The sequence below is a fragment of the Homo sapiens genome, chromosome 16 (genome assembly GCF_000001405.40).
Source record: "Homo sapiens chromosome 16, GRCh38.p14 Primary Assembly".
Lineage (NCBI taxonomy): Eukaryota > Metazoa > Chordata > Mammalia > Primates > Hominidae > Homo > Homo sapiens.
This window is the reverse complement of record NC_000016.10, coordinates 9,355,329-9,380,374: the sequence shown is the minus strand read 5'-3', so window position 1 is coordinate 9,380,374 and position 25,046 is coordinate 9,355,329. Positions and strand designations below refer to the sequence as shown.

The window sequence follows — 25,046 nt, the reverse complement described above, 5'->3', positions numbered from 1 at the left end:
CAATAAACAGGGAGTAACAGAATTAAAGAAGGCTAGATTATGCAGGATTGCACAGGTGTAGTTTGAACGTACCCACTGCATACATCTCCTCCCAGTCTTACTAAAAGGATGTTGCATGGGGAAAGGTATGGGAAACGGGAGAGGATTTAGGAAATGATTGTGATTTTAAAATGTGTAGTCTTTGGGCACAGTGGCTCACACCTACAATCCCAGCACTTTGGGAGGCTGAAGCAGGCGGATCACCTGAGGTCAGGAGTTCAAGATCAACCTGGCCAACATGGCAAAACCCTCTCTCTACTAAAAATTCAAAAATTAGCCGGGCATGTTGGCAGGCGCCTGTGATCCCAGCTACTCAGGAGGCTGAGGCAGGGAGAACTGCCTGAATCCAAGAGGCAGAGGTTGCAGTGAGCCGAGATCGCACCACTGTACTCCAGCCTCGGTGACAGAGCAAGAATTTGTCTCAAAAAAAAAAAAAAAATTGTAGTCTTTAGACAAGCCTCCCTCTCTCTGTGGTTTAGTCCAGGAACTACTTTGATTCTCTGGGTGAGGGCTTCATCATGTAACCACTTAAAACTCCTAGATTCTACCAGCAAAATAGTCTTCATTTTTTGAGACTCCAGGGTCTTAGAACCAGAGCCATAAGGCAGGATGGACCCTGGTGGCTACAAGCCTGGGTGGGGATTACAGGTGATTTTGCCCATCTTTAATAGGGATAAGCTGCTGAGGCAAGCACATGTTTTCATGTACGTGAGTGCACCAGGCATGGCATTAGCCTGTGAGATTGGTAAGGCTGCCCTGTTCACACTCTTATGTCCCCTGAGTGCCTAGCACTGAGCATACAGTAGGTGCTCAATGGATACTTGTGGAATGCACGTGTTCCCGGTTGTATGGTGTCCCTCAGAAAGATATATTGAAGCCCTAACACCCAGGACTTGTGAATATGACCTTATTTGGAAATAGGCTTTTTGCAAATGACATCAAATTAAGATAAGGTCATTGGGGTGAGCTCTAATCTGATAGGACGGTGTCCCTAGGAAAATGCAAAATTTGGACACAGACACAAACACCCAATAATCACACCATGGTGGAGACTGGAGTGACGCATCCTTAAGCCAAGGAACACCAAGGATTGCCTGCAACACCAAAACTAAGAGGAAGGCACAGGACCAATTCTCCCCTACGGCCTTCAGAAAGAACATGGCCTTGCCCAACCCTTCTTTTGAACTTCTGGCCTCCCAAGCTGTGAGCAAATACATTTCCGATGATGCAAGCCACCCAGTTTGTGGTCATTGTTACAGCAGCCCTGGGAAACAAATGCAGGATGTTAGTATGACCTCATTGTTCGGATTTCTGTGTGAGCTACCCCTCAGCTGCTCCAAATGACCCACACAAACACTAGAACACAAACATGCAGTTCCTTGACTCCTCACCCCATCTCCCGCACAACCTTGAAACCAAATTCCTGACACCAAAGCTAATTTTACCTTTCAACCTGCATGCAGCTATTTTTATTCCAACCTCCAATCTCGGTTCTGTTGAGCTCCAATTAACAAGGTGGCTGAGGTCTTCCTGAAAGTCTCCACAGACCTGCATAATTCATCTCCTGTGTTCTCGAAGCCAGCATTAAACAAAGGAGGGGACTCCAGCTCCAGACCAGACTCTAGTCTGGCGGTTCCCCAGGTGGGGCCAGGGACGATTTGCACCAGCAGCAACTGGGGCACTGGTCAAAACTGGAGATCCCTAAAAGGATAGCCTGAACCAGTCTAGGGGGAGAGGTCAGGCACCTGCATTTTCAGCAGGTGTACCAGGATATTCTGGTGTTTGCTAAAGCACTACCTTGTTAACTCTTTATCCACAGAGTTTCCCAAGCATGAGGGTCTGGGTTCCAGCCATAGCTAATGAACCTGTGGAAGAGAGAATTCTCCCTATTTTATTTTTCCTCTTCCCAGTTGTCCTGGAGTGGGCACTGGGGTTGGCTGTTCTCAGGCGCATCTTGGAATTTCTCAGCCTAGTTTACATGGGGAAGATAGAGGCCTATTCAGATGAGGTAGAGGGGGTGAGAGTGGGTGAACTGAGGCAAGACATCTTCAGTTCCTTCCCAGCTTCCCTTCAAGGGGTAGGGTCTCTGACCCCAAAAGAATGCCTCTGCCCCATCCTTACAATCATCCCCTAAGTCTGCTTTTCAGACCTGGCTGATTCTTTGATGAGAGTTCTCAGCATTTGTCTTCATTTTTGTTTTTGTGTTGGTGTTATCTCAATGCTGCCAGTACTACCTGAGGCAGGAAAACCCACCCTACCCCTAAGTAAATCCATTCATTTAGCAAATATTCAGTGAAAACTGAATATATGCTAGGGGCCTGGCTCACACCCATAGCCCCAATACTCTGGGAGACCAAGGTGGAAAGATCGCTTGCGTCCGGGGGTTTGAGACCAGCCTTGGCAACACAACAAGACACTGTCTCTACAGAAAAAGTTAAAATTAGCTGGATGTGGTTACTCATGCCTATAATCCCAGCTACTTGGGAGGCTAAGGTGAGAAAATCACTTGAGACCAGGAAGTTGAGGCTGCAGTGAGCCATGTTCACACCCCTACACTCTAGTCTGGGCAACAGAGCAAGACCCTGTCTCAAAAAAAAAAAGAAAAGAAAAGAAAAGATGCTAGAGGCTGTGCTAAATACAGAAGTGAACAAGACAGACCAAGCCCCAGTTATAAGGCCTTTGCTTCAGTAGGAAAGAAAGACAGTAAACAACCAATAGCACGACATGATATGGCTTGATTTCAGAGAGCGGTCAGGGCTGAGGGTGGTGGTGTGGGGTCATGGAAGGGCCAGTTGAGATAAGCTGGCCAGCAGGGTCTCTCTGAGAAAGTGACAGACACCAGAGACCTGGATGAGTTGAGGGATGGGCCATGGGACTACCAGGTTGAAGAGAATTCCTGCACCAGGGAGCAGCTAATATGCGGCCCAGGTCATCAGGGTCCCGGGCATGTTTATAGACCAGCAAGGAGGCCAGTGTGGCTGGTCTGGAAGGGGAAGATAGGGAGGGAGAGGAGGGGAAAGCTAGTGGGAGGTAGGGTCAGAGACAGGCAAGGTCAGACCATGTAGGGACGTGCAGTTGTCCAGGTCAGAGATCATCTCAGGCTAGGCTAGGATGGAAGTCCCAGAGAGGCAGCAGAGTGGATGGATTCAGGATGAGTGTGGAGTTGGCAGGACGCATGGATGGATTAGATGTGGGAGGAGGGAGAAGGAAAGAGGAAGCTATTTTAGTTCCTAGACACTGACAGGATATTGCATAATATAAAAGAATCATTCACTTTTTAGAGGTGGTAATGGTATTGCCATTGGTTATTTCTTAATTGTCCTCACCTTGTAGAGATACATGCCAAAACTTTAAAAAATGAAATGGCCAGGCATGGTGCCACCTGCCTCTAATCCCAGCTACTCGGGAGGCCAAAGTGGGAGGATTGCTTGGGCCCAAGAGTGTGAAACCAGCATGGGCAATACAGTGAGACCCTGTCTCTAAAAAATATTTAAAAATTAGCTGGGTATGGTGGTGCACACCTGTAATCCCAGCTACTTTGGAGGCTGGGGCAGCAGGATTGCTTGGATCCCAGAATTTGAGGTTGTAGTTAGCTATGATCATGCCATTGCCTTCCAGCCAGGGTGACAGATCAAGGTCCTGTCCCTTACGAAAAATAAATAAATAAAAAATAATAAAGTCACCCAATTATTTAACATTAATAAACGCATGAGGGCTGGGCACAGTGCCTCGCACCTGTAATAATCTCAGCACTTCAGGAGTTTGAGGCGGGAGGAGTGCTCGAGTTTGAGACCAGCCTGGGTAACAAAATGAGACCCCCCATCTCTACGAAAAATCAAAATTAGCCAGGCATGATGATGCGTGCCTAGAGTCCTAGCTACTCAGGAGACTGAGGCGGGAGGATCACTTGAACCCAGGAGGTCAAGGCTGCAGTGAGCCATGATCATGCCACTCTACCCCAGCCTGGATGACAGTGAGAACTTGTCTCTAAATAACTATAAATAAAATGAAATTATATAATTCTGGCATTTATCTAAAATAGTATGGGAGGGGAAGCCTTTTGGGAGCTGGAAATGAAAAAAGAATTGGCCACACGTTGATCACTGTTGAGGGTGAGTGATGGGTCCATGGGTTTTCATTGCACCATTCACTCCAAGGTTGTATTAATCTACGATTAAAATTCTCCTTAACAAACATTAAAAGAAGGCACCATTTCCAGGGTGCAGAAGCCTGAGAAAGGGGCAGGTCTAGGATGACAGATAGAGAGCTTCCTATAGATGTCGAAACTGGACTCTACTGTTCACAAGAGCCAAGATGTGGAATCAACCTAGGTGTCCAACAATAGATGAATGAATAAAGCAAATGGGGTACCTATACACAATGGAATACTACTGAGCCATAAAAATGGAGAAAATCCTGTCATTCATGGCAGCATGGATGAAACTGGAGGATATTATGCTAAGTGAAATAAGCCAGGCACAGAAAGTTAAATACTACACATTCCCACTCATATGTTAAAGCTAACAAGGCTGATGTCATAAAAGTAAAGAGTAGGGCAGAGGATACTAGAAGCTGGGAAGAGTAGGGAAAGAGGAGGAATAGGGAGAGATTTATTAAAGGAGATTTATTAAAAATTCCATCTAGAAGGGAGCAGTAGGTCCTAGTGTTCTATAGCACTGTATGATGACTATAACATAAGTTCCAAATAGCTAGGATGATATTGAACTTTCCCAACACAAAGAAATGATAAATGCTTGAGATGATGGATATACTAGTTCCCCTGATGTAATCATTATACATTATATACATCAAAACATCACTGTGTGCCCCACAAATATGTATAGTTATAATGTGCCAACTTAAACAATTAATACAGAAAAATTAGCCAGGCATGGTGGTGCATGCCTGTAGTCTCAGCTACTTGGGGGGCTGAGGAAGAAGGATTGCTCAAGCCCAGAAGGTCGAGGGTGCACTGAGCCAAGATCAAGCCACTGCACTCCAGCCTGGGTGACAAAGTGAGACCCTGTCTCAAAAAAAGAAAAAAAAAAAAGATAAAAAATTAAATTAAAATTTTAAGCTCCAGACTCTGGGTTCAGACCTGAGACATCACAGAGAGGGTTATACACCTCCGCTACTCTCATTGGAGGCTTCACTGTCACCTCCCTCTTTTAACCTCCTGCTCAGAGGTTTCATTATTTGCCCCCTTCCTCACACACCCCACCCTGGAACCAGCTACATAATTTATGGGACCCAGTGCAAAGTGAAAATGCAGGACCCTTTCGCAAAAATTACTACAAATTTCAAGATGGCCTTTGCAGAGCATTCAACCAAGCTGGGGCCTTTCTGAGCATGGGTATTTGTGCAAGCGACCCAGCCCCATACCTGCGATGACACAAGTCCTGCCCCACCATGCAAAGATTGGAGAAATCATTCACAGGTGCTCATCTAAGAAGCACTGGCATCTCTGGCCACCACAACTGAATGACTTCCTTTCTTCACCCATTTATTCAGCAAGCATTTTTGGTGTATCTGTTACAGGACATTATGCTGGGGAAGGGGGTTACAGCAGGGTCTCCCAATCTCCACACTGTGAACATCTGGGGCCAGATCATTGTGGTCCTGTGCGGTCCTATACACTGTATTTAGCAGCAGCTCTGCCTCATCTCACCAGATGCCAGGAGCACCTATTCCCCCAAAATATCTTCAGACACTGCCAAATATTCCCTGGCAGGCAAAGTTGCCCTCTGCTGAGAACCACTGGACTACAGTGATACAAGGAAATTTGGAGGCACTCCTAGTAAGCTTTTCCTTTGTAGAACCTATCACATTCATAGTTTTAATTACTTTTTACTTGTTTGTTTAATGCTGGCTCCTCCAAATAGGCTGCAGTTTTCACGAAAACAGAGACAACCTCCCATCTCCGTTTTGTTATCAGCTGCATCTCTAGCCCCCAGCACAGTACCCAGGAATGGTAGGAGCTCAACAAATACTTGTTGAAGGCATGCATGTTGGAGGAGACAGGCAAATGGCAGACGGAAACAGTGGAGTGACTCAACGTGGAAAAAGAAAATACACAGATGCGTGTACAAGGAAAGCATGCATCACAGAGGAGGAAGAGATTAACTATCAGGGAGAGGAGACTCCGGGAAGTCTACACGAGAGACTCAGCAAATATTTAAAGGACAAATAGGGATCTGTCTGGTGGACTGATAGGGCTGTGCATTCAGACAGCAGCACCACCATCCATCCACAAAGGCACCAAGAGAAACAAGGCTGCTCTCAGGAACACAACGATTATGATGGTGCAAGTGAGTGAGCTGGAGGCGTAGGTATGGTCCAGTCCCTGGGCCTGGATGCCCATTACACTATTAAACAAATGGACAACAAGTAATTAAAAATATGAGTGTGATAGGTTCTAGACGCTTTACCCAGGCGGCACTGAGTATCCGCTGAAGGGTTTTAAGCAGCCGCCTGGTTTGGCGGGCTCTCTGTTTGTAGATAGTCGTGTGCAGAATAGATTGAAGAAGACAATCTGTAAGCAAGCAGGCATCATAGCAGGGGCACCTCTGCCTTTGCTCCCTCCTGGACCATGAGGTGTGGCACTGCCCTGGCATTAACCAATCTCCTGCAGTCACTCATCTGTGTTACCAACTGCCCTAGTCAGCTCAAGCTGCTATAATAAAACACCATGAATGTGTGGCTTAAACAACAGGCACTTATTGTGAAGGGCAGGAAGTCCAAGATCAGGAAGCCAGGAGGATTGGGTTTTGATAAAGACTCTCTTCCTGGCTTGCAGACAGCCGCCTTCTTGCTGTGTCCTCACGTGGTGGAGACAGAGGAAGAGTCTGTCTCTTTTCCTCTTCTTATGAAAACACTAATCCCGCCCCCCCCACCATGGGGGCCCCACACTCATGACCTCATCTAAACCTTATCACCTCCCATAGGCCCAACCTCCTAACAACATCACACTGGGGGTTAGGGCTTCAACCTATGAATTTTGGGAAGACACAGACTTTCAGTCCATAACACCAGGTCTCCTGAAAGTCCCCGGGCCTGAACACCTGAAAGTGCCTTGTGAATTATTCAAAGCACTAATTTGGGACTGAGTGTCTTCTCGCATGTTTCCTCTTTGAAAATCAGAGCTGACAGTAACTCACGCACAGAGGTGCTATGGAGACAGCAAGGCTTGAGGGGGCCCTCTGCAGACAGACTCTGCCATGGGCCACACTCCAGCTGTGTAGCTTCGAGCAAGTAACTTCATGGCTCTCAATTCATTCTCCTCATCTAAAGATCGGGGGGAAGGATAGTACTTGTGTCGTGAGATTGATGTGAAGGTTAAAATTAAGAGTTAACCTATAAAACATCCCTCAGCAGTGTCACTGTGACATAGTGTCAATAGCCAGCCTGTTTGTGGTCCATTTATCTCTCACTCACCCCCTCTACAGCCATCAATCATACCAAATTAGAGAATGTATTTTGAAAACTCCATACTGAGTGCCAGAGCAGGGAGCATGTTGGTCACCAGGTTAAAGGCTCAGGACTCAGGCTTTTTTTTTTTTTTTTTTTTTTTTTTTTTTTTTTAACAGGATCTCACTCCAGTTGATCAGGCTGGAGTGCAGTGGCACAATTTCAGTTTACTGCAGTCTTGCCCTCCTGAGCTCACGCAATTCTCCCACCTCAGCCTCCTGAGAAGCTGGGATTACAGGCGCACACCACCACGCCTGACTAATTTTTTGTATTTTTAGTAGAGACAGGATTTCGCCATGTTGCCCAGCTTGAATTCCTGGACTCAGGAGTTCAAGTGTGCCTACCTCAGCCTCCCAAATTGCTGGAATTACAGGTGTGAGTCACCGCGTCCAGCTTTATGCAATTTTATATTGAGCCTTGACAGAAAGAGTACTCCATAGGGCAATGGCTCTTAACTGCAGGTGATTTTTGCAGCATCTGAACATTTGGCAATGTGTGGGGGCATTTTTGATTGTCACAGCTGAGGGGGTGCTACTGGCATCTAATAGATAGGTTCTACAGAAGCTGCTGAACATCCTGCAATGCATGGGACAGCCCCCTACAACAAGGAACTGTCCAGCACAAAATGTCAATAGTGCTCAGATTGAGAAACCCTGATCTAGACACTGCTAGATCTTGGTAGAATGAACACAGACTTTTTGGAGTCAGGTAAACCTAGACTTAAATTCCCATCATGCCACTTACTAGCTTATGGCCTTAGACAAATCACTTAACATCTCAAAGATGACACCTTCCCAGAGTATGTTGCTCAGGATTAGAAGAAGCAAAACATCAGCACCTAGAAAAATGACTAGCACATGGCACATGCCCCAGACATTTGTGATTGCCACCCAACAGCCATTCTCGAACTGCCTTACTGCTCTGGACACTGACATGAAAGACGTGATGACGGTGCAGCAGCAGCTATTTTGGCTCCGAGAGGGAGAAGGCAAAAAAGGCTAAGAGAGGCTGATGCGGAGCCCAGGCGCCATGGAATCAACCCTGGATCCAACTCCTCTCGAGTTCTGTTACGTGAGAAATAATGTGTCATTAGTTAAGCTGCTTTTAATTTCTTTTACAGCACACTTTTTAATTTTTTATCTATTTATTTTCAATAGTTCTTGGGGTACAAGTGGTTTTTGGTTACATAAATGAATTATATAGTGATGAATTCTGAGATTTTAGTGCACTCATCACACAAGTAGTGTACATTGTACCTAACGTGTAGGTTTTTTCCATCCCTGGCCCCCCTACACTCTCACACTTTAAAGTCCCTGAAGTCCATTATACCACTCTGTATGCCTCTGCGTACTCATAGCTCAACCTCCCGCTTTTAGTGAGAACATGCGGTTTTTGGTTTTCTACTCCTGTGTTACTTCACTTAGAATAATGGCCTCCAGATCCATCCAAGTCGCTGCAAAAGACATGATTTCATTCCTTTTAATGGCTGAGTCATATTCCGTGGTGTATATATACCACGTTTTTCTTTAGCCACTCAATCCATGGGCACTTGGGTTGGTTCCGCATCTTTGCAATTGTAAATTACGCTGCTGTAAACACACATGTGCAAGTGTCTTCTTCATATAATGACTTCGTCAAGCTGCTTTTAGTTGGTATCTCTTATTGACACCTTCACTCATTCGAATCACTACCATACAAACTCAATAAATGTTTATAGATCAATAAATGGTTTTATATGTCTGGTATATAGTAGGTGTTTTAAGCAGTGGTTGAGGTATCCTGGCCAGGCAAGAAATAACTTTTTTTTTTTTTTTTTTTTTGAGACAGAGTTTCACTCTTGTTGCCCAGTCTGGAATGCAATGGCACCGTCTCAGCTCACTGCAACCTCTGCTTCCTGGGTTCAAGTGATTCTCCTGCCTCAGCCTCCCAAGTAGCTGGGATTACAGACACCCACCACCACACCCAGCTAATTTTTGTATTTTTAATAGAGACAGGGTTTCACCATGTTGGCCAGGCTGGTCTCAAACTCCTGACCTCAGGTGATCCGCCTGCCTCAGCCTCCTAAAGTGCTGGGATTACAGGCATGAGCCACCATGCCAGGCCAAGAAATAACTTTTGGTTGCACATTGCTAGTTGCCATTGGATGTCAGACACATTTCAGAATCCGTATGATCCGATAAGTGGGCAGAGAAAACAGGTTTAAGGAGACAGGGAACAGCAAGAAGGAGAGGTTGTCAGTCTGTGGTTTTCTATAAATGGATTATTCTTCCCCACCCACATCTTACAAGCCACAGTGACCATTCTGTGTCTAACAAGCAGTCTGTCATTTGGGGAAGAGGGATTACAACCCTCTCTTTCCTTGTAACAGCTGTGATAATGCAGCCCAACTGCCCGCTTAGGTGGCAATCAGTCATTCGAGGTCATGGAGGCCCTGCACGGAGCCACTTGTGAAGAAGCTGTCGGACAAGGAGACCTGGAAGAAAATGTGTGATAGCAAAGTGTCAGGCAGCGATGTGACAGCTGGCTTCGTTTCCCCCAGAGAGCTATTGTCATGGAAAGCTCTGCTCAGCCCTGAAACAAGATAACTTCATCAAGTCAGAACTGCTGGGAGAAGTGCTTTTGGCTTGAAGCAACCTATCTGAGAAAAGGCGGCAAAGAGGTGGGAGCGGTCGGAGGAGTGACCACAGGGATTTGACTGGGAGTTTCCTTTATAACAAACCTTGTTAAAGTGAGAGGGAGGGAGTAGCATGGAATAAGGGTTGGCTAGGGGCCAGGCAATCATTTACCTCTGTTATTCTTACAACCTCCATTTGTCCAGTGCAATACTTCATAGTTGCCAGACACTGAGATCAACACTTTACAGAAACCCTCTGTATTGGTTTGCTGGAGTTTTGTAACAAGGTGGCTCAAACAACAGAAATTTATTCTCTCCCAGCTGTGGAGGTCAGAAGTTGAAAATCAAGGTGTCAGCAGGGGTGATTCCTTCTGAGGGCTATGGGGGAGACTCCACTCTGTTCCAGGCCTCTCTCCTTGGCTTGTAGATTGCTGTCTTCTCCCTGGATCTCTTCACTTCCTTCTGTGCATGTCTCTGTATCCAAATTTCCACTTCTTATAAAAGCACCAGTCTTACTGATTAAAGCCCACCCAAATGGCCTCAACTTAACTTCATTACTTCTGTGAAGACAAGATCTCCAGTAAGGTCCTATTTCCAGGGGTTAGAACATCAGTAGATGCATCTGGAGATGATACAATTCAACTCACAACACCCTCTTATTCAATGCTTACAACGTCGGTAAGAGGAAAGGCCTACAAGAGTCATTTAATCCCTTTGGGAGGCCAAGGCAGGCGGATCACGAGGTCAGGAGATCGAGACCATCCTGGCTAACACAGTGAAACCCCGTCTCTACTAAAAATACAAAAACAAAATTAGCCAGGTGTGGTGGCGGGCACCTGTAGTCCCAGCTACTTGGGAGGCTGAGGCAGCAGAATGGCGTGAACCTGGGAGGCGGAGCTTGCAGTGAGCCGAGATCCTGCCACTGAACTCCAGCGTGGCAGCCTGGGCGACAGAGCGAGACGCCGTCTCAAAAAAAAAAAAAAAAAGTCATTTAAGAGAAAGACCTATCAAAGTCATTTAAGGGAAAGGAAACAGACTCAGAGGGGCTGTGACACTGGCCTGACATCATGCCAGCCTCCTTTCCTATTTGCATACAATGGGTGCTACAATTATGTCATCATGCACTACACACATCCCACTAAAGTGTGAGTCCCATGAGGGAAGAGATTTTATCCCTTTTGTTCACTGATGTTTCTCTAACACCCTGCACAGTGCCTGACACATTTAGAAAGGACCCAACGAGTATTTGTTGAACAATGAATGAATGAATGCAGGATTCATTGACCAGTTCTAGGAGCTTTTTGGATGAGTGTTTGGGATTTTCTAGGTACACAATCATATCATCAGCGAGCAGCGGCAATTTGACTTCCTCTTTACCGATTTGGATTGTTTATAGCAGCACAATTTGCAATTGCAAAAATACAAAACCAGTCCAAATGCCCATCAATCAACAAGTAAATAAAGAAAATGTGATATATATATATCACATTTATATATATATAAACACACACATATATATACATGTATATATACACACATGTATACATATATACACACACATATATACATATATATATACACACACACACATATATATATACACACAAACACACCATGAAATACTACTCGGCCATAAAAAGAAAAGGAAATAATGGCATTTGCAGCAACCTGGATGGAACTGGAGACTATTATTCTAAGTGAAGAAACTCAGGAATGGAAAATCAAATTTTGTGTGTTCTCATTCATATGTGGGAGCTAAGCTATAAGGACAAAAAGGCATAAGAATGATAGATTGGACTTTGGGAACTCAGGGGAAAGGGTCGGGGGTGCTGAGGGATAAAAGACTACACATTGGGTACAGTGTACACTGCTTGAGCGATGCGTGCACCAAAGTCTCAGAAATCACCACTAAAGAACTTATTCGACGGGCACGGTGGTTCATGCCTGTAATCCCAGCACTTTGGGAGGCCGAGGCTTGCAGATCCAGCCTGGCCAACATGGTGAAACTCCATCTTTACTAAAGATACAAAAATTAGCCGGGCATGGTGGTGGCCGCCTGTAGTCCCAGCTACTGGGGAGGTTGAGGCAAGAAAATCACTTGAACCCGGGAGATGGAGGTTGCAGTGAGCCAAGATCGTGCCGCTGTACTCTAGCCTGGGCAACAAGAGTAAGATTCCATCTCAAAAAATGAAAGAAGTTATTCATGTAAATTCATGTAACCAGACACTACCTGTTCCCCCAAAAACCTACTGAAATTAAAAACATATAAACAAATAAATAAATATATAAATATATAAATAAAAATAAAAGAACGTGGGTAGCAAACTATAGCATGGAGATTCAGTCTTACTTGTCTGACTCATAGTAAATGAGTAAATGCTCATAGCTGTCATAAAGCCTGCCTCCCTCCCCCTTACTCCCCACCACAGCAGCGTTCACATCTCACCAGCAAGGAAACTGAGACTCAGAGATGATTCCTGATTTGCTGGGATCACACAGCTAAGTCACATCTTGAGGTTAAACACAACTCCATCATCAACTTCCGTGCAGAATAATTTTAAGCGAGGAGTCATGAACACAAATGCTCTTGAGAGCCAAGCAGCTGACATAAATGCATAACCAGGGCTGAGACAATATGGAGTGGTGGGGACTGGGGCAACCTAGAAAGACAAGTTTCAGCTGAAAGAGATAGCTGCTTGTTTGAGGGAAATTTACAGCCTTCTCCCAGATAGATCTCAATTTAATTCATAGGTAATTTTATGAGGCATTTTGTAAAAAGCCTCATGATGTGTAGCTCCAAAAGGTACAGGTTAGTCAAGGGATTTTTCAATAATGTCCCTTTTGTTCTCTACTAAAGACAGTGTTATTCTGTAATTAAACAGGTTTTTGTTACACTGGGTTATCAGCCTACTGCAGTGAGATCTTCCTCCCTAAGGTGCTTTAGAGGTCTGAGATGAATAGGAGACCGCACAGCTGCACTCCTACCTCATCCTAGGGAGCAGCATGAAGAAACAGGTTTATCTGTGTGGTAGACAGAATAATGTCCCCAAAGATGTTCACTTCCTGATCCCCAGACCCCCTGAATGTGTCACCTTACGTGGCAAAGAGACTTTGTAGATGTGGTTAAGATAAAGATCCTGAGATGGGGAGAGAATCCTGGACTATCCAGGTGGGCCCACTGTGATCACGAGATCTTTACAATGGAGAGGGGAGGCAAGATGGTCCAAGTCTGAGTGAGAAGCACTCCACCTGCATTGCTGGCCTTGGAGATGGAAGGAGAGCCAAGGAATTCAGGCAGCGTCTAGAAGCCAGAAAAGCTGAGGCCACAGACCCTCCCTGGAGCCTTCAGAAGGAGCCCAACCCTGCCAACAGCTTAACTTTAGCCCAGTGAGTCCCATTTTGGATGCCTGCCTCTCCAGAGTTGTGAGATAACAAATCTATATTGTTTTAAGCCACTAAGATTGTGGTGACTTGTTACAGCACCAACAGGAAACTGATACAAGTCTGTAACTGACATCCAGGGACATATCTGAGTCACTCTTTCTCCCTCTGCAATACCCAACTGTCAGTGATGATGTCCCAGGACCACATTTCCTTGTCTCTAAATTCCCCAATTCAGTCCCCCGCTGCCCCCCAAAATGCCCATAGCCCCCAAATCTGCTCTTCCCACAGTCTTCCTCATCTGTTATTTCTCCTCCATCCAGTTATTCGGGCCAAAAGTCTTGCAGTCATTCTCAACTCTTCCTTCTCTCTCTTTGGTATCCCAGGTCCCACGTATCAGCAAGTCAACATCCAGAATCCAACCATGTCTCTCCACCCCCACCTCCACACCTGGTCCAGGCCACCATCACCTCTCACCTGGACACATCACGGTAGCTCCTGACCCATCTTTCCCTTCCATGTGTATCTGTATGTTATTTTACACGCAAAAGACAGAGTGTTAGATTATCTTCTGCTGCTGCCCAACCTTGCCAAGGACCTCACATCACACTCCTCACCACAAGCACCCAGATCCTACTGGACATGGCCCCTGCCCTCTCCTCCCACCTCATGTGCCAGCACCACCCCATTCCTCACCATGCTTTGTGGTCAAGGTTCCTCACGGCCTGCAAATACACCAAGAGCATGCTGACCTCAGGGCCTTCGCACCTGCTGCCTAAACATGCTTTTTTTTTTTTTTTAAGAGATAAGGTATTGCTCTGTCACCCAGGATGGAGTGCAGTGGTTCATTCACAGCTCACTGCAGCCTTGACCTCCTGGCCCCCAGCGATCCTCAGCCTCCTAAAAGCACTGAAATTGCAGGTGTGCACCACCACGCCTGGCTCTACTGCCTAAATACTCATATTCACTCCCTCCAATCAGACCTCTAGCTATAAGTCAGATGCCCTAACCTCTGTATCTAAATCAGGTCTCCCCACCCCATCCTCACCTCTAGTCTTCTTCCCTCTTCCTGTTTTACCTTCTATCCTGGCCCTTCTCTCTCCCTAATTCTGTAGCATATATTTCATACATTTGTTTATCACATCTCCCCTTCCATTCTCTGCCAGAACATAGTTATTACTACAAAGTAATAAGCTTGCAAAATTTCTCATAATAAAGTGCAAGATGCTGAGACTCCAGAACAACCCAGACTGAGCCTCTCCCCCTATTATAACTTACATAAATTATGTCAGAGAACACAGTGTCTGAGCCTTCCTGCACCAGCCTCTCCTGGGGACTGTTTTGGTCCACGCTGTTTGCTCATGGATTAGATCAGCACTGTCACATGGAAGGTGGCCCTGTGCCCTCTTGGCTTCTTCTGCAGGATTGCCCAAGGGTTTCTGGCAACCACAACTCATCTCCAGCTATGCTGGAATATGAACACAAGGTTGCCAGATCTCTGGGTTCTTTTTTTTTTTTTTTAAAGAAGTTGTAGTCTGGATTTTTATGTGGAAGCTTCTAATTTTTAACACTGAGCCTACACTCTGCATAGCAACAATCTGCTAGAGCTGCGAGCTGCTGCCCACTATGAAAAGGGCATGAACTCTTTATGTCACAACAAGCCTCACCCAGAATGTTTCACTTATTTGCCTTACCTGTCTTGCCTGTGACAGCATTTGGCTCCTCAGCCGCTGACTTAAGGATTTTTCATCAATGTTAAGCTAAACACTAGCTAGCAGTGTAAAGTGGAACTGCCAGAAAACTAAAAATAAAAAAATTTTAAAGACTAATGTTACCTCAGGTTGCATCAATAGAGGTGCATTGTTCAAGGGAAAGGAGGTGACATGCCAAGCCTGGTTCCTACTGGTGAGATCACACACCTGCAGTCAAGGCCACCATTTCAAAAGAGATAAAGACTATGGGAAATTGTTGGTAGGAGAGCAAACAGAAAGGTTGAGAAACTGTTTTCCTTTAGCTTAAAGGGAAAAAAAGAGAGAGAGAAAGAGAGAGACTGTTAGGAATTTGAGCACTCTTTTCAAATGTTCAGAGGACACTTAGGTAGAAGACAGACAAGACATACTTTGTGAGGCCACTGGGGAGCACAATTAGATCCAGTAAGAGGGAGCTACAAGGAGGTAAGTTTATCTTGGCATTTAAAAAGTGAATTTTCAGCCGGATGTGGCAGCTCACGCCTGTAATCCCAGCACTTTGGGATGCCGAGGCGGGCAGATCACCTGAGGTCAAGAGTTCAAGACCAGCCTGGCCAACATGGTGAAACCCTGTCTCTCTAAAAAAATTGGCCAGGTGTAGTGGCGGGTGCCTGTAATCCCAGCTACTTGGGAGGCTGAGGCAGGAGAATCACTTGAACCCAGGAAGCAGAGGTTGCAGTGAGCCAAGATAGCACCATTGCACTCCAGCCTGGGAGACAAGAGTTTTGAAACTCCGTTTCAAAAACAAACAAACAAACAAACAAATAAATAAATAAAAATACAAAACTAAAAAGTGAATTTTCTCATTGCCAGAGCTGAACTGGAATGGAATGAGGAGTGACTTCCCTGTCACTGGCAGTATTCAAGATGAGACAGGACACCACTTAATGGGCATATAGAAGAGGTGATTCCAGCATTGCAAATAAGGTGGGTGGGGAGGAAAGGCAGGAAGGAAAGGAGAAAGAAAGAAAGGAATGGAGAAAGGATGACAGATGGGTGGATTTACTGAGCACCTACTGTGGGCCTGGAGTTGTCTATATCTAGATCATCATTCATCGCCCTTTCAGTGTTTAGACTCTGGATCAGAGAATCTTCCTTCTAATTGCAATTATTTTACAGTCTCAGGTGAAAGTGTGCTCCACATATCCCATCCAATTGCAGATGCAAATTACACACAAATTCCAAAGGTGTTGCAGTTAGAAGGTTTCTTTCCGAAAGGTCAACGGGAACCCAAATGGGAGGGAGATCCCAAAGGTCACCCCTTCCTAGTTCCCTGTTCGCACCTCTACCTCCTACCTCCTAGGGCAGCAGGAGAAATTATTGCTCACTGGAAAATGGGGCTGGCCGAGACACTGCCGGGAAGCTCGGTTACCGCGATGTGTGCTCCTCTGCTCTTCTCAATCCTGAGCTACATTAATGGGGGGAAAATTGTCTTGTTTTGTAAGACATGCTTGACAGCTGTTCATTGCCTGTCAGCGAGGAGAGGTAATGAGAATTACTTAGCAGTTGAGTCTTAACTAAGAGAGCCTGCAGCATAACAAGAGGTCCCCAAGATTCATGGGGAGAAAATTGCATCTTGCCGAGCCTATGTGCATCTTACCCCATTCCCACTAGAGTCTTTGGCCCCAGATTATGAATTAGAAAAAGGAGGACCACTGCAACGGGTCTCCCTGTCGGGGCTCTAGTGCCCTACAAGCCATTTTACAAACAGCTGCCAATGGGATCCTTGAGAAATGAATATCAGACATCACTCCCTGCTCAAATCCTTCCTATGGTTTCCCATGACACTGAGGATTAAATCCAAACTCATTAACCCATCTAAAAAGACCATGAGGGCTGGGCATGCTGGTTCACGCCTGTAATCCCAACACCTTGGGAGGCCAAGGCAGGTGGATCACCTGAGATCATGAGTTCGAGACCAGCCTGGCCAACATGGTGAATACAAAAATACTAAATTTTTGTATTCTCTACTAAAAATACAAAAATTAGCCAGGTGTGGTGGCGCATGACTGTAATTCCAGCTACTCAGGAGGCTGAGGCAGGAGAATCACTTGAACCCAGAGGCAGAGGTTGCAGTGAGCCAAGATCACACCACTGCACTCCAGCCTGGGTGACTTCATCTCTAAATAAATAAATAAACAAATAGACCATGATGGCTACATCCTAAGCCTCTCTCCACCAGCTTACATGACATCTGTCTTAGCTGGGATTCTCCAAAAGCAGACCCTAAGACAAGCATCTGGGAACAAGTAGTTTACTTGGAAGATGATTCCAGGAAGCAAAGTGAGGGAGTGGGAGAGTGCAGGAGAGGAAAGCATAAGGCACATGATATGGTTTGACTGTGTCCCCACCCAAGCCTCATCTTGAATTGTAGCTCCCACAATTCCCACGTGTCATGGGTGGGACCCAGTGGGAAGTAACTCAATCATGGAGGCGGGTCTTTCCCATACTGTTCTCTTGATATTGAATAAGTCTCACGAGCTCTGACAGTTTTATAAAGAGGAGTTCCCCTGCACAAGCTCTGTCTCTTGCCCACCACCATGTAAGATGTGACTTTGCTCCTCCTTGCCTTCTGCCATAATTGTGAGGCCTCCCCAGCCATGTGGAACTGTGAGTCAATTAAACCTCTTTTCTTTATAATTACCCAGTCTCAGGTATGTCTTTATCAGCAGTGTGAAAATGGACTAATATAGCACATTAATGAGCAGGTTACCCTGTGGACAGCTGGGGCTCAGTCCTGCTGGAAATGGCAAGGGACTATGAGAAGCATGTGTCAGAGTTGTCCCATCCAGGGCCAGGGAAGCTGGGATATTTCCCATCATAGTCATTCCCTAGAGCGGCTGTAATGAAGTCCCCCCGGTGGCTTAAAACAGTAAACATTTGCTCACAGTTCTGAAGGCTGCAAGTCCAAGATCAAGGTTTCGGCAGGGTCACGCTGCCTCCAAAGGCTCTAGGAAAAATCTTTCCTTGTCTTTTCCTGGCTTCCGGTGGCGGCTGGCACTCTTTGGTGTTCTTTGGGTTCCAGGTTCGTCACTCCAGCTCTGCCTTGGCTGCTGTATGGCCTTCTTCGTGTGTCTCTCTGTGTCTTCATATGGCCTCCTTGTAGTGACAACAGTCATTAGGTTTAGGGCCTTCCCTAAGACAGTATGACCTCGTCTTAACTAATTGCACCTGCAAAGACTCTATTTCCAAATAAGGTTGCAACCTGAGTTTTGTAGTGCCTCAGAGTTGTCCCATCCAGGGCCAAAGAAGCTGAGCTATTTGCCACCACAGTCATTCCCTAGGGCTGCTGTAACGTAGTCCCACCAACCCAATGGCTTAAAACAACAGCTATTTGCTCACAGTTCTGAAGGCCAGAAGTCCAAGATCAAGGTGTCGGCAGGGCCATGATGCCTCTGAAGGCTCTGAGAAAAAATCTTTCCTTGCCTTCTGAGGCAGCATGGGGGATGCTATTCAACACAGTTCAGCCCAATTCCCTTCACCCTTTATTCAAGCAACGTTGTGTAGTGCACAAGCCCACAGCCCACTGACTGTCTCCTTCATCCACTCACTCCAGCTGTACTGGCCTTTGACTCGGTGATGTCCAGCTTTTTTTTCCTCAGCCCCTCACACAGGCTGGTACCTCTGTGTGCAACACTCCCTCCCAATGTCTGTGCATCTAATTTCTACTCTTTTTCAGATCTATACAGCTACAAGTAACAGAAACCTAACCCAATGTAGCTTAGTGCCCCCAAAGCAGGAAACTCATTGGTTCATGTAACTAAAAAGTCAGGCTTCAAGTAAGGCTGGGTTGGGGTTTAAAGTATGCCATTGCTGTTCTGTCTTGCTCTGTGTGGGTCCAGGCCTGGACTCATGTGATTATGAGTGAAACTGTTTGGAAACACAGCATCCTACCTACAGCATTCTGGTTTCTCTCAGGCCCTTGCCTACCCCTGAATCATCGCTGCGGCCAGAGGATTACAGCATTGTGATTGGCCAGGTCTGAGTCACATGCCCACTTCCCAGACTAATAGGCAAACCTCATCCAATCCACATGGAATGGATTTATCCAAAAGAATCCGTGCTGTGTTATCAAAGAAATAAATAATAATGGGTGTCAACTAAAATGTCTCCACTCATATGGCATTTCTTCAGAGAGCCCTTCCCTGACCTCTCTTCCCAACCCAAATTAGCCCTATGACAGTCTCCTTCATGGATTTAATTATTTTCCCTCATAAAACTCATAATTTGTTTCTTATGTGTGTATAGTTGTCCTTTGGTATCCATAGGGGACTGGCTCCAGGATGCCCTACAGATACCAAAATCCTTAGATGTTTAAGTTCCTTATATATTAATAAAAAGGCATAGTATTTGCATATAACCTACGCACATCCTCTTGTATACTTTATATCATCTCTATATTTCTTGTCATACCTAATACAATGTAAATGCTATGTAAATAGTTGTTATACTGCATTGTTTAGGGAATAATGGCAAGAAACAAAGTCCATACATGTTCAGTGCAGACACTTCTTTTTCTGAATATTTTCAATTCATGGTTGGTCGAATCCATGGCTAACTGTATATTTCTTTAATATCTGCCTTAACCACTAGACTCTGAGCTCCTTGAGGGCAGAGATGATGCCTGGCTTGTTTATATCTGGACTCCCCAGCCCTTGCTCACCCTTGCTTGCTTTGTCCACAGCAGGTGCTCAATAAATACCATAGAATGGCTTTGTAAAGAACTCAGTGATTATTTATTGCAATGAGTTGTGGTGCTGGGAGAAGCACCCAGGTGTCCTGAGTCCCAGTACAGCACTTTGCATTGTGGTTCTCCTGACCCCGACTGTGGTCCTCATGACTGGAGTGATACCGGAGCCCAGCCTGGCATTGACGGTCAAAGCCCAACTTTGGACGGCCTGTCGGACATGACGTTTTCCCTCCAACACTTACCTGTCTCATCTTATTCACCAGCCTGAGTCAGTCTGGCTTAGTACAAAGGTCACAGCTCTTAGCAGCTGGAAGACCCAGGTTCAAACGGCACTTCTGCTACTTCATACTTCCATGGGCACAGGCAAGGCTCTGAAGCTCTATGAGACTTTATTTCCACACTGCTTTTGAAAGGATATTTTCTTTGCCTTTACCTTTCATGACTATGCTATATTTTATAAATTATTATAAAACCTCCTATAAACCATCCTGGAACATGGTGGGGCATAAATAAAATGTATCTGCAAAATAGAGATAATATTTACCACTCAGGACTGCAGGGAGGATTAGAGATGAGGTAAGCAGTGCTCCTGGTACTGAGTAGCTGCTATTGTCATCATAATCATTATTTTGGGTGAGGCTGAATCCCAACAAATACCTTGTAGGACATCAAGCAGGAAACCAATTTCCTTGCAAATAAATGTCACAGATATAAAAGGCCTACAAAAATAAATAAATAATCTCTGATCAGGACAAAATCCAGGGATATAGTCAGGCCATGGGAGAGGCCCCGTGGTAACCCAATCTGACCCCTCAGAATGGTTGGGAAAATGGAGCTGAAGGTGAAACTTCACGGACAAATCATTCTAGTTCTTCATGACCTAGCCAGAGAGATGACTGAACTAGAGGTGAGAAAGGTGAAACAGGAGGGCTAGACATTGGCACTGCACAAAAAGGTTAAGAATGAAAAAGTGTTGCTGTGAGCCACGATGAGCACAAAATATGATGGGGAATAGGCCCACAATGCAAACAATAAAATAAAATGAAACAGATATTTGCATTAGAGAGTTTGAAACAACAAAACAAATCAAAGCCGTGGAGTGGTCCAGACTCTTCAGTGAATGAATTGGGTGGATTCAAAATTTATCATTGATAAAAAAAAAAAAGTTTAACACATGAGACCTATCCCCCAAAAAAGTGAGGAAGAGAGGAATAGGATGTGATGAAAAGGTACGTTTTTTAAAATATCAATTGTGGCCAGGTGCAGTGCCTCATGCCTGTTCTCCCAGCCCTTTGAGAGGCTGAGGTGGGCAGAGGGCTTGAGCTGTGGAGTTCAAGACCAGCCTGGGCAATATGGCAAGACTCTATCTCTACCAAAAATTCCAAAACAAAACAAAACAAAAAAGCAGAGTATGGTGGTCTGCATCTGTGGTCCCAGCTACTGGGGAGGCTGGGGTGGGAAGCTTGAGCCTAGGGGGTGAGGGTGGAGAGTTGTAGTGAGCTGACATGGAGCCACTGCACTCCTCCTGGGTGATACAGTGAGACCCTGTCTCAAAAAAAAACATATATATATATATATATGGCAGCCAGGCCCAGTGGCTAACACCTGTAATCCCAACACTTCAGGAGGCTGAGGCGGGTGGATCACCTGAGGTCAAAAGTTCGAGACCAGCCTGGCCAACATGGCAAAACCCCGTCTCTACTAAAAATACAAAAATTAGCCAGGCACGCTGGTGGGCGCCTGTAATCCCAGCTACTCAGGAGGCTGAGGCAGGAGAATACCTTGAACCTAGGGGGTAGAGGTTGCAGTGAGCCAAGATTGCACCACTGCACTCCAGCCTAGGTGCAGAGCAAGGCTCCATCTCAAAAAATAATAATAACAATAAAATAAAACAAAATAAAATAAAATATTAATTGCAAGAGGAATCAACCAAGAAAAAGATGAGTTCTCCATAACCACAAAGAAATCATGGGCATAAGAGATCTCTTAATATCAGAAACAAAACAATAAAAGTTCAAAGAAAAGTTTATGTAGCAGCAAAGGAATGCAAGATAAAATGTCACAGTGCTAAAAGCTACTTGTAAAACAATGTGACTGGAAATGAAGTCTGGGAGGTAAAAGAGAACTTTGATGGGACGAGAAACCTGCCAAAACTTTAAAATCTGTATGTGGGCAGGCATGAGGATTAGAATCTGTTGGAGCCAGAAGCCAGAGCTAGTTCTCCCCCACACCAATTCTCCCACCCATTGGACATTTTCCAAGTTAAGAAATGGTAGAAGAAGGTGGGGGCTTGGCTGAAAAGCAGAAGTAGATCTTGCAGTCTTGCAGTTCTTAAATCACAAATATCTGCTGGAGGGAGAGGCCTGGTCTCACCTTCAAGACATTAAGACCAGATGCAAGCCAAAACAAACTAAAACAGTAAACCAGCCCCAATCAGTCCAACTTCTGATCAGACTGAAGAAAGTAACCCTTACGCTAGCTGTCTGAAAGAGAAAAATTCGAGCCATTTCTGGGAAAAAAAATATTATCAACTTCAGTTTCTAGTTCTTACATGAAAATTCTGGCATATGATAAAAATAGCAGAATATGTTAAAAAGTAGGAGATTGTGAAATTTAAAAATCAACAAAAAAACATGTGACTAAATACAGACCAAGAGATGACACAGCTGATTAGTGGACATGGAATTTGAAATAACTATTATAAAGTATGTGAAAGAAACTGAAAGAAAATATTAATATGGGTGAAAATATGGGAAAAAATCCAAAAGAATAATGTGACCTCTAAAATTAGAATCAAATGGAAATTCTAGAGCTGAAAAATACAATACCTGAAATGGAAAATTAATTGAATAGGCTTAACAGTATATTGGACATAGTGAAAGAAAGAATTAGTGAATTTGAAGAGTGGTCAATAGGAATTATCCAAACTGAGGCAAAGAGAGAAAAGGAATTTTTATAGCAGAATGTTAGAGAGCCCTGGGTCAAGATCAAATGATCCAGCACAATTTGGAGTCTCAGAAGAGGAGCAGGGAAATGGGATAGAAAAAAATATTGAAGGGTATGAAATATTTTTAGTTGGTAGGAAACATAAACTTAAAGGAGAAAAAGTATAGTTAAAATCACATCTAAGTGCATCATAGTCATCCTGCTGAAAACCAAAGAGAATGAGAAAAATCCTAAAAGCAGGGGTGGGGTAGACACCATACATTCAGGAAAATGGAGGCTACCGTTCAAGTAGTCTGCAAAATATTGTTTAGCACATTATCGTGAAGAGACTAACCAAGGCTAGAGAAAGAATCATCCAAAAAGATTAGAGGAAACAGTACTTGGTGATCACATAGGACCAGGAGGAATATCCATCACCCAATAAGACAAAATTCATGATGTCTGGCACACAAATTATATGCTCCCTATAAAAAAACAGACTTTAAATATAAAAGTACAAGAACGGAAAAAGACATACCATGCTAATACTCATCAAAAAAGAGCTAGAGTGACTATATTAATATCATATAATGTAGATCTCAAAGCAAAACATATTACCAAAAAGAAAGAAGTTTATCTCATAAAGAGATCAATTCATCAAGAGGACATAACAATACTAAAGTTTCACCACATAAAACAAAACTGAAGGCTAGGCATGGTGGCTCACACCTGTAATCCCAGCAATTTGGGAGGCCGAGGGAGGTGGGTTGCTTGGGGTCCAGAGTTTGGGATCAGACTGGCCAACATGGTGAAACCCCATATCTACCAAAAATACAAAAATTATCTGGGCATGATAGTGGGTGCCTGTAATCCCAACTACTCGGGTAGCTGAGGGAAGGAGAATCACTTGAACACAGGAGGCAGAGGTTGTAGTGAGCTGAGATCATGTCACTGTACTCCAGTCTGGGTGACAGTGCGAGACTCCATCTCAAAAAAAATAAATAAAAGCTCAAAATATCAAAATATATATAAAACAAAAACTGATAGAACTGCCAGGAGAAATAGAAAATCCACAATTACAGTCAGAGATTCTTTCAATAATTAATATAACAAATAAACAAGAAATTACCAAACATGTAGAACACTTGAACAGTGCCATCAATCAACTTGACTTAACTGACATTTACAGAAAAACTGGGTAGCCGGATGCAAGAAAAATAAACTTTGATTCATACCTCACACCATACACAAAAACCAACTTAAAATGAACCACAGACCTAAGTGTAAAACCTTAAACTATACAATTTCCAGGAGAAAACACAAGATAAAATATTTGTAACCTTGGGTTGGGCAAAGATTTTTTAGATATGATACTGAAAGCATGAGTCATAAAAGAAAAAAAATGCATTAATTGTACTTAGTCAAATTTTAAGATGTTGCCTTTTCAAAAGACACTGTTAAAAGAAATTAAAACAGGCTCTCTCCTCTCCTTCTTCCCCCTAAAAAAAAATTAAAAACAAAAGCCATAGACTAGGAGAAAATATTTGCAAAACAGATATCTAATCAAGGACTTGTGCCCAGATTATATAAGGAACTCTCAAATCCCAAAACTAAGAAAAAAACACACACTTTTTAAAATAAGCAAAACATTTGTATTAGTCCATTCTCACACTGCTATGAAGAACTGCCTAAGACCGGGTAATGCAGGAAAAGAGGTTAAATTTACTCACAGTTCTGCATGGCTTGGGAGTCCTCAGGAAAGTTACAATCATGGTGGAAGGCACCTCTTCACAGGGCGGCAGGAAGGGTAAGTGCTGAGCCAAGGGGGAGGAACCCCTTATAAAACCATCAGATCTTGTGAGACTCACTCACTTTCGAGAGAAGAGCATGGGGGAAACTGCCCCCATGATTCAATTACCTCCACCTGGTCTCTCTCTTGACAATTAAGGATTATGGGGATTATGGGGATTACAATTCAAGATTAAATCTGGGTGGGAAGACAAAGCGTAACCATATCAACATTTAAACAGACACCAATAAAGAAGATACCACAAATGCATATAAGCACATGAAAAGATGCCCAATATCTTTACTCATTAGGGAAATGCAGATTAAAACCATGAGATACCACTATACTTCTATTAGAATAGCTAATGTTAAAGAGCCTGACAATACCAAGGAT

At 44.3% G+C, this 25,046-nt stretch overlaps 1 long non-coding RNA gene across 1 annotated transcript in view; it reads right to left on the bottom strand.

The window, feature by feature from the left end:
• The window catches only part of LINC02177 (long intergenic non-protein coding RNA 2177), a 52,506-nt gene extending 27,719 nt beyond the window's left edge, over positions 1–24,787 (bottom strand). The window contains exon 1 of the long non-coding RNA NR_135195.1: positions 24,595–24,787. This is a non-coding gene — a long non-coding RNA (long intergenic non-protein coding RNA 2177). The remainder of the gene's footprint in view (positions 1–24,594) is intronic.
• Positions 24,788–25,046: the final 259 nt, after the last annotated feature.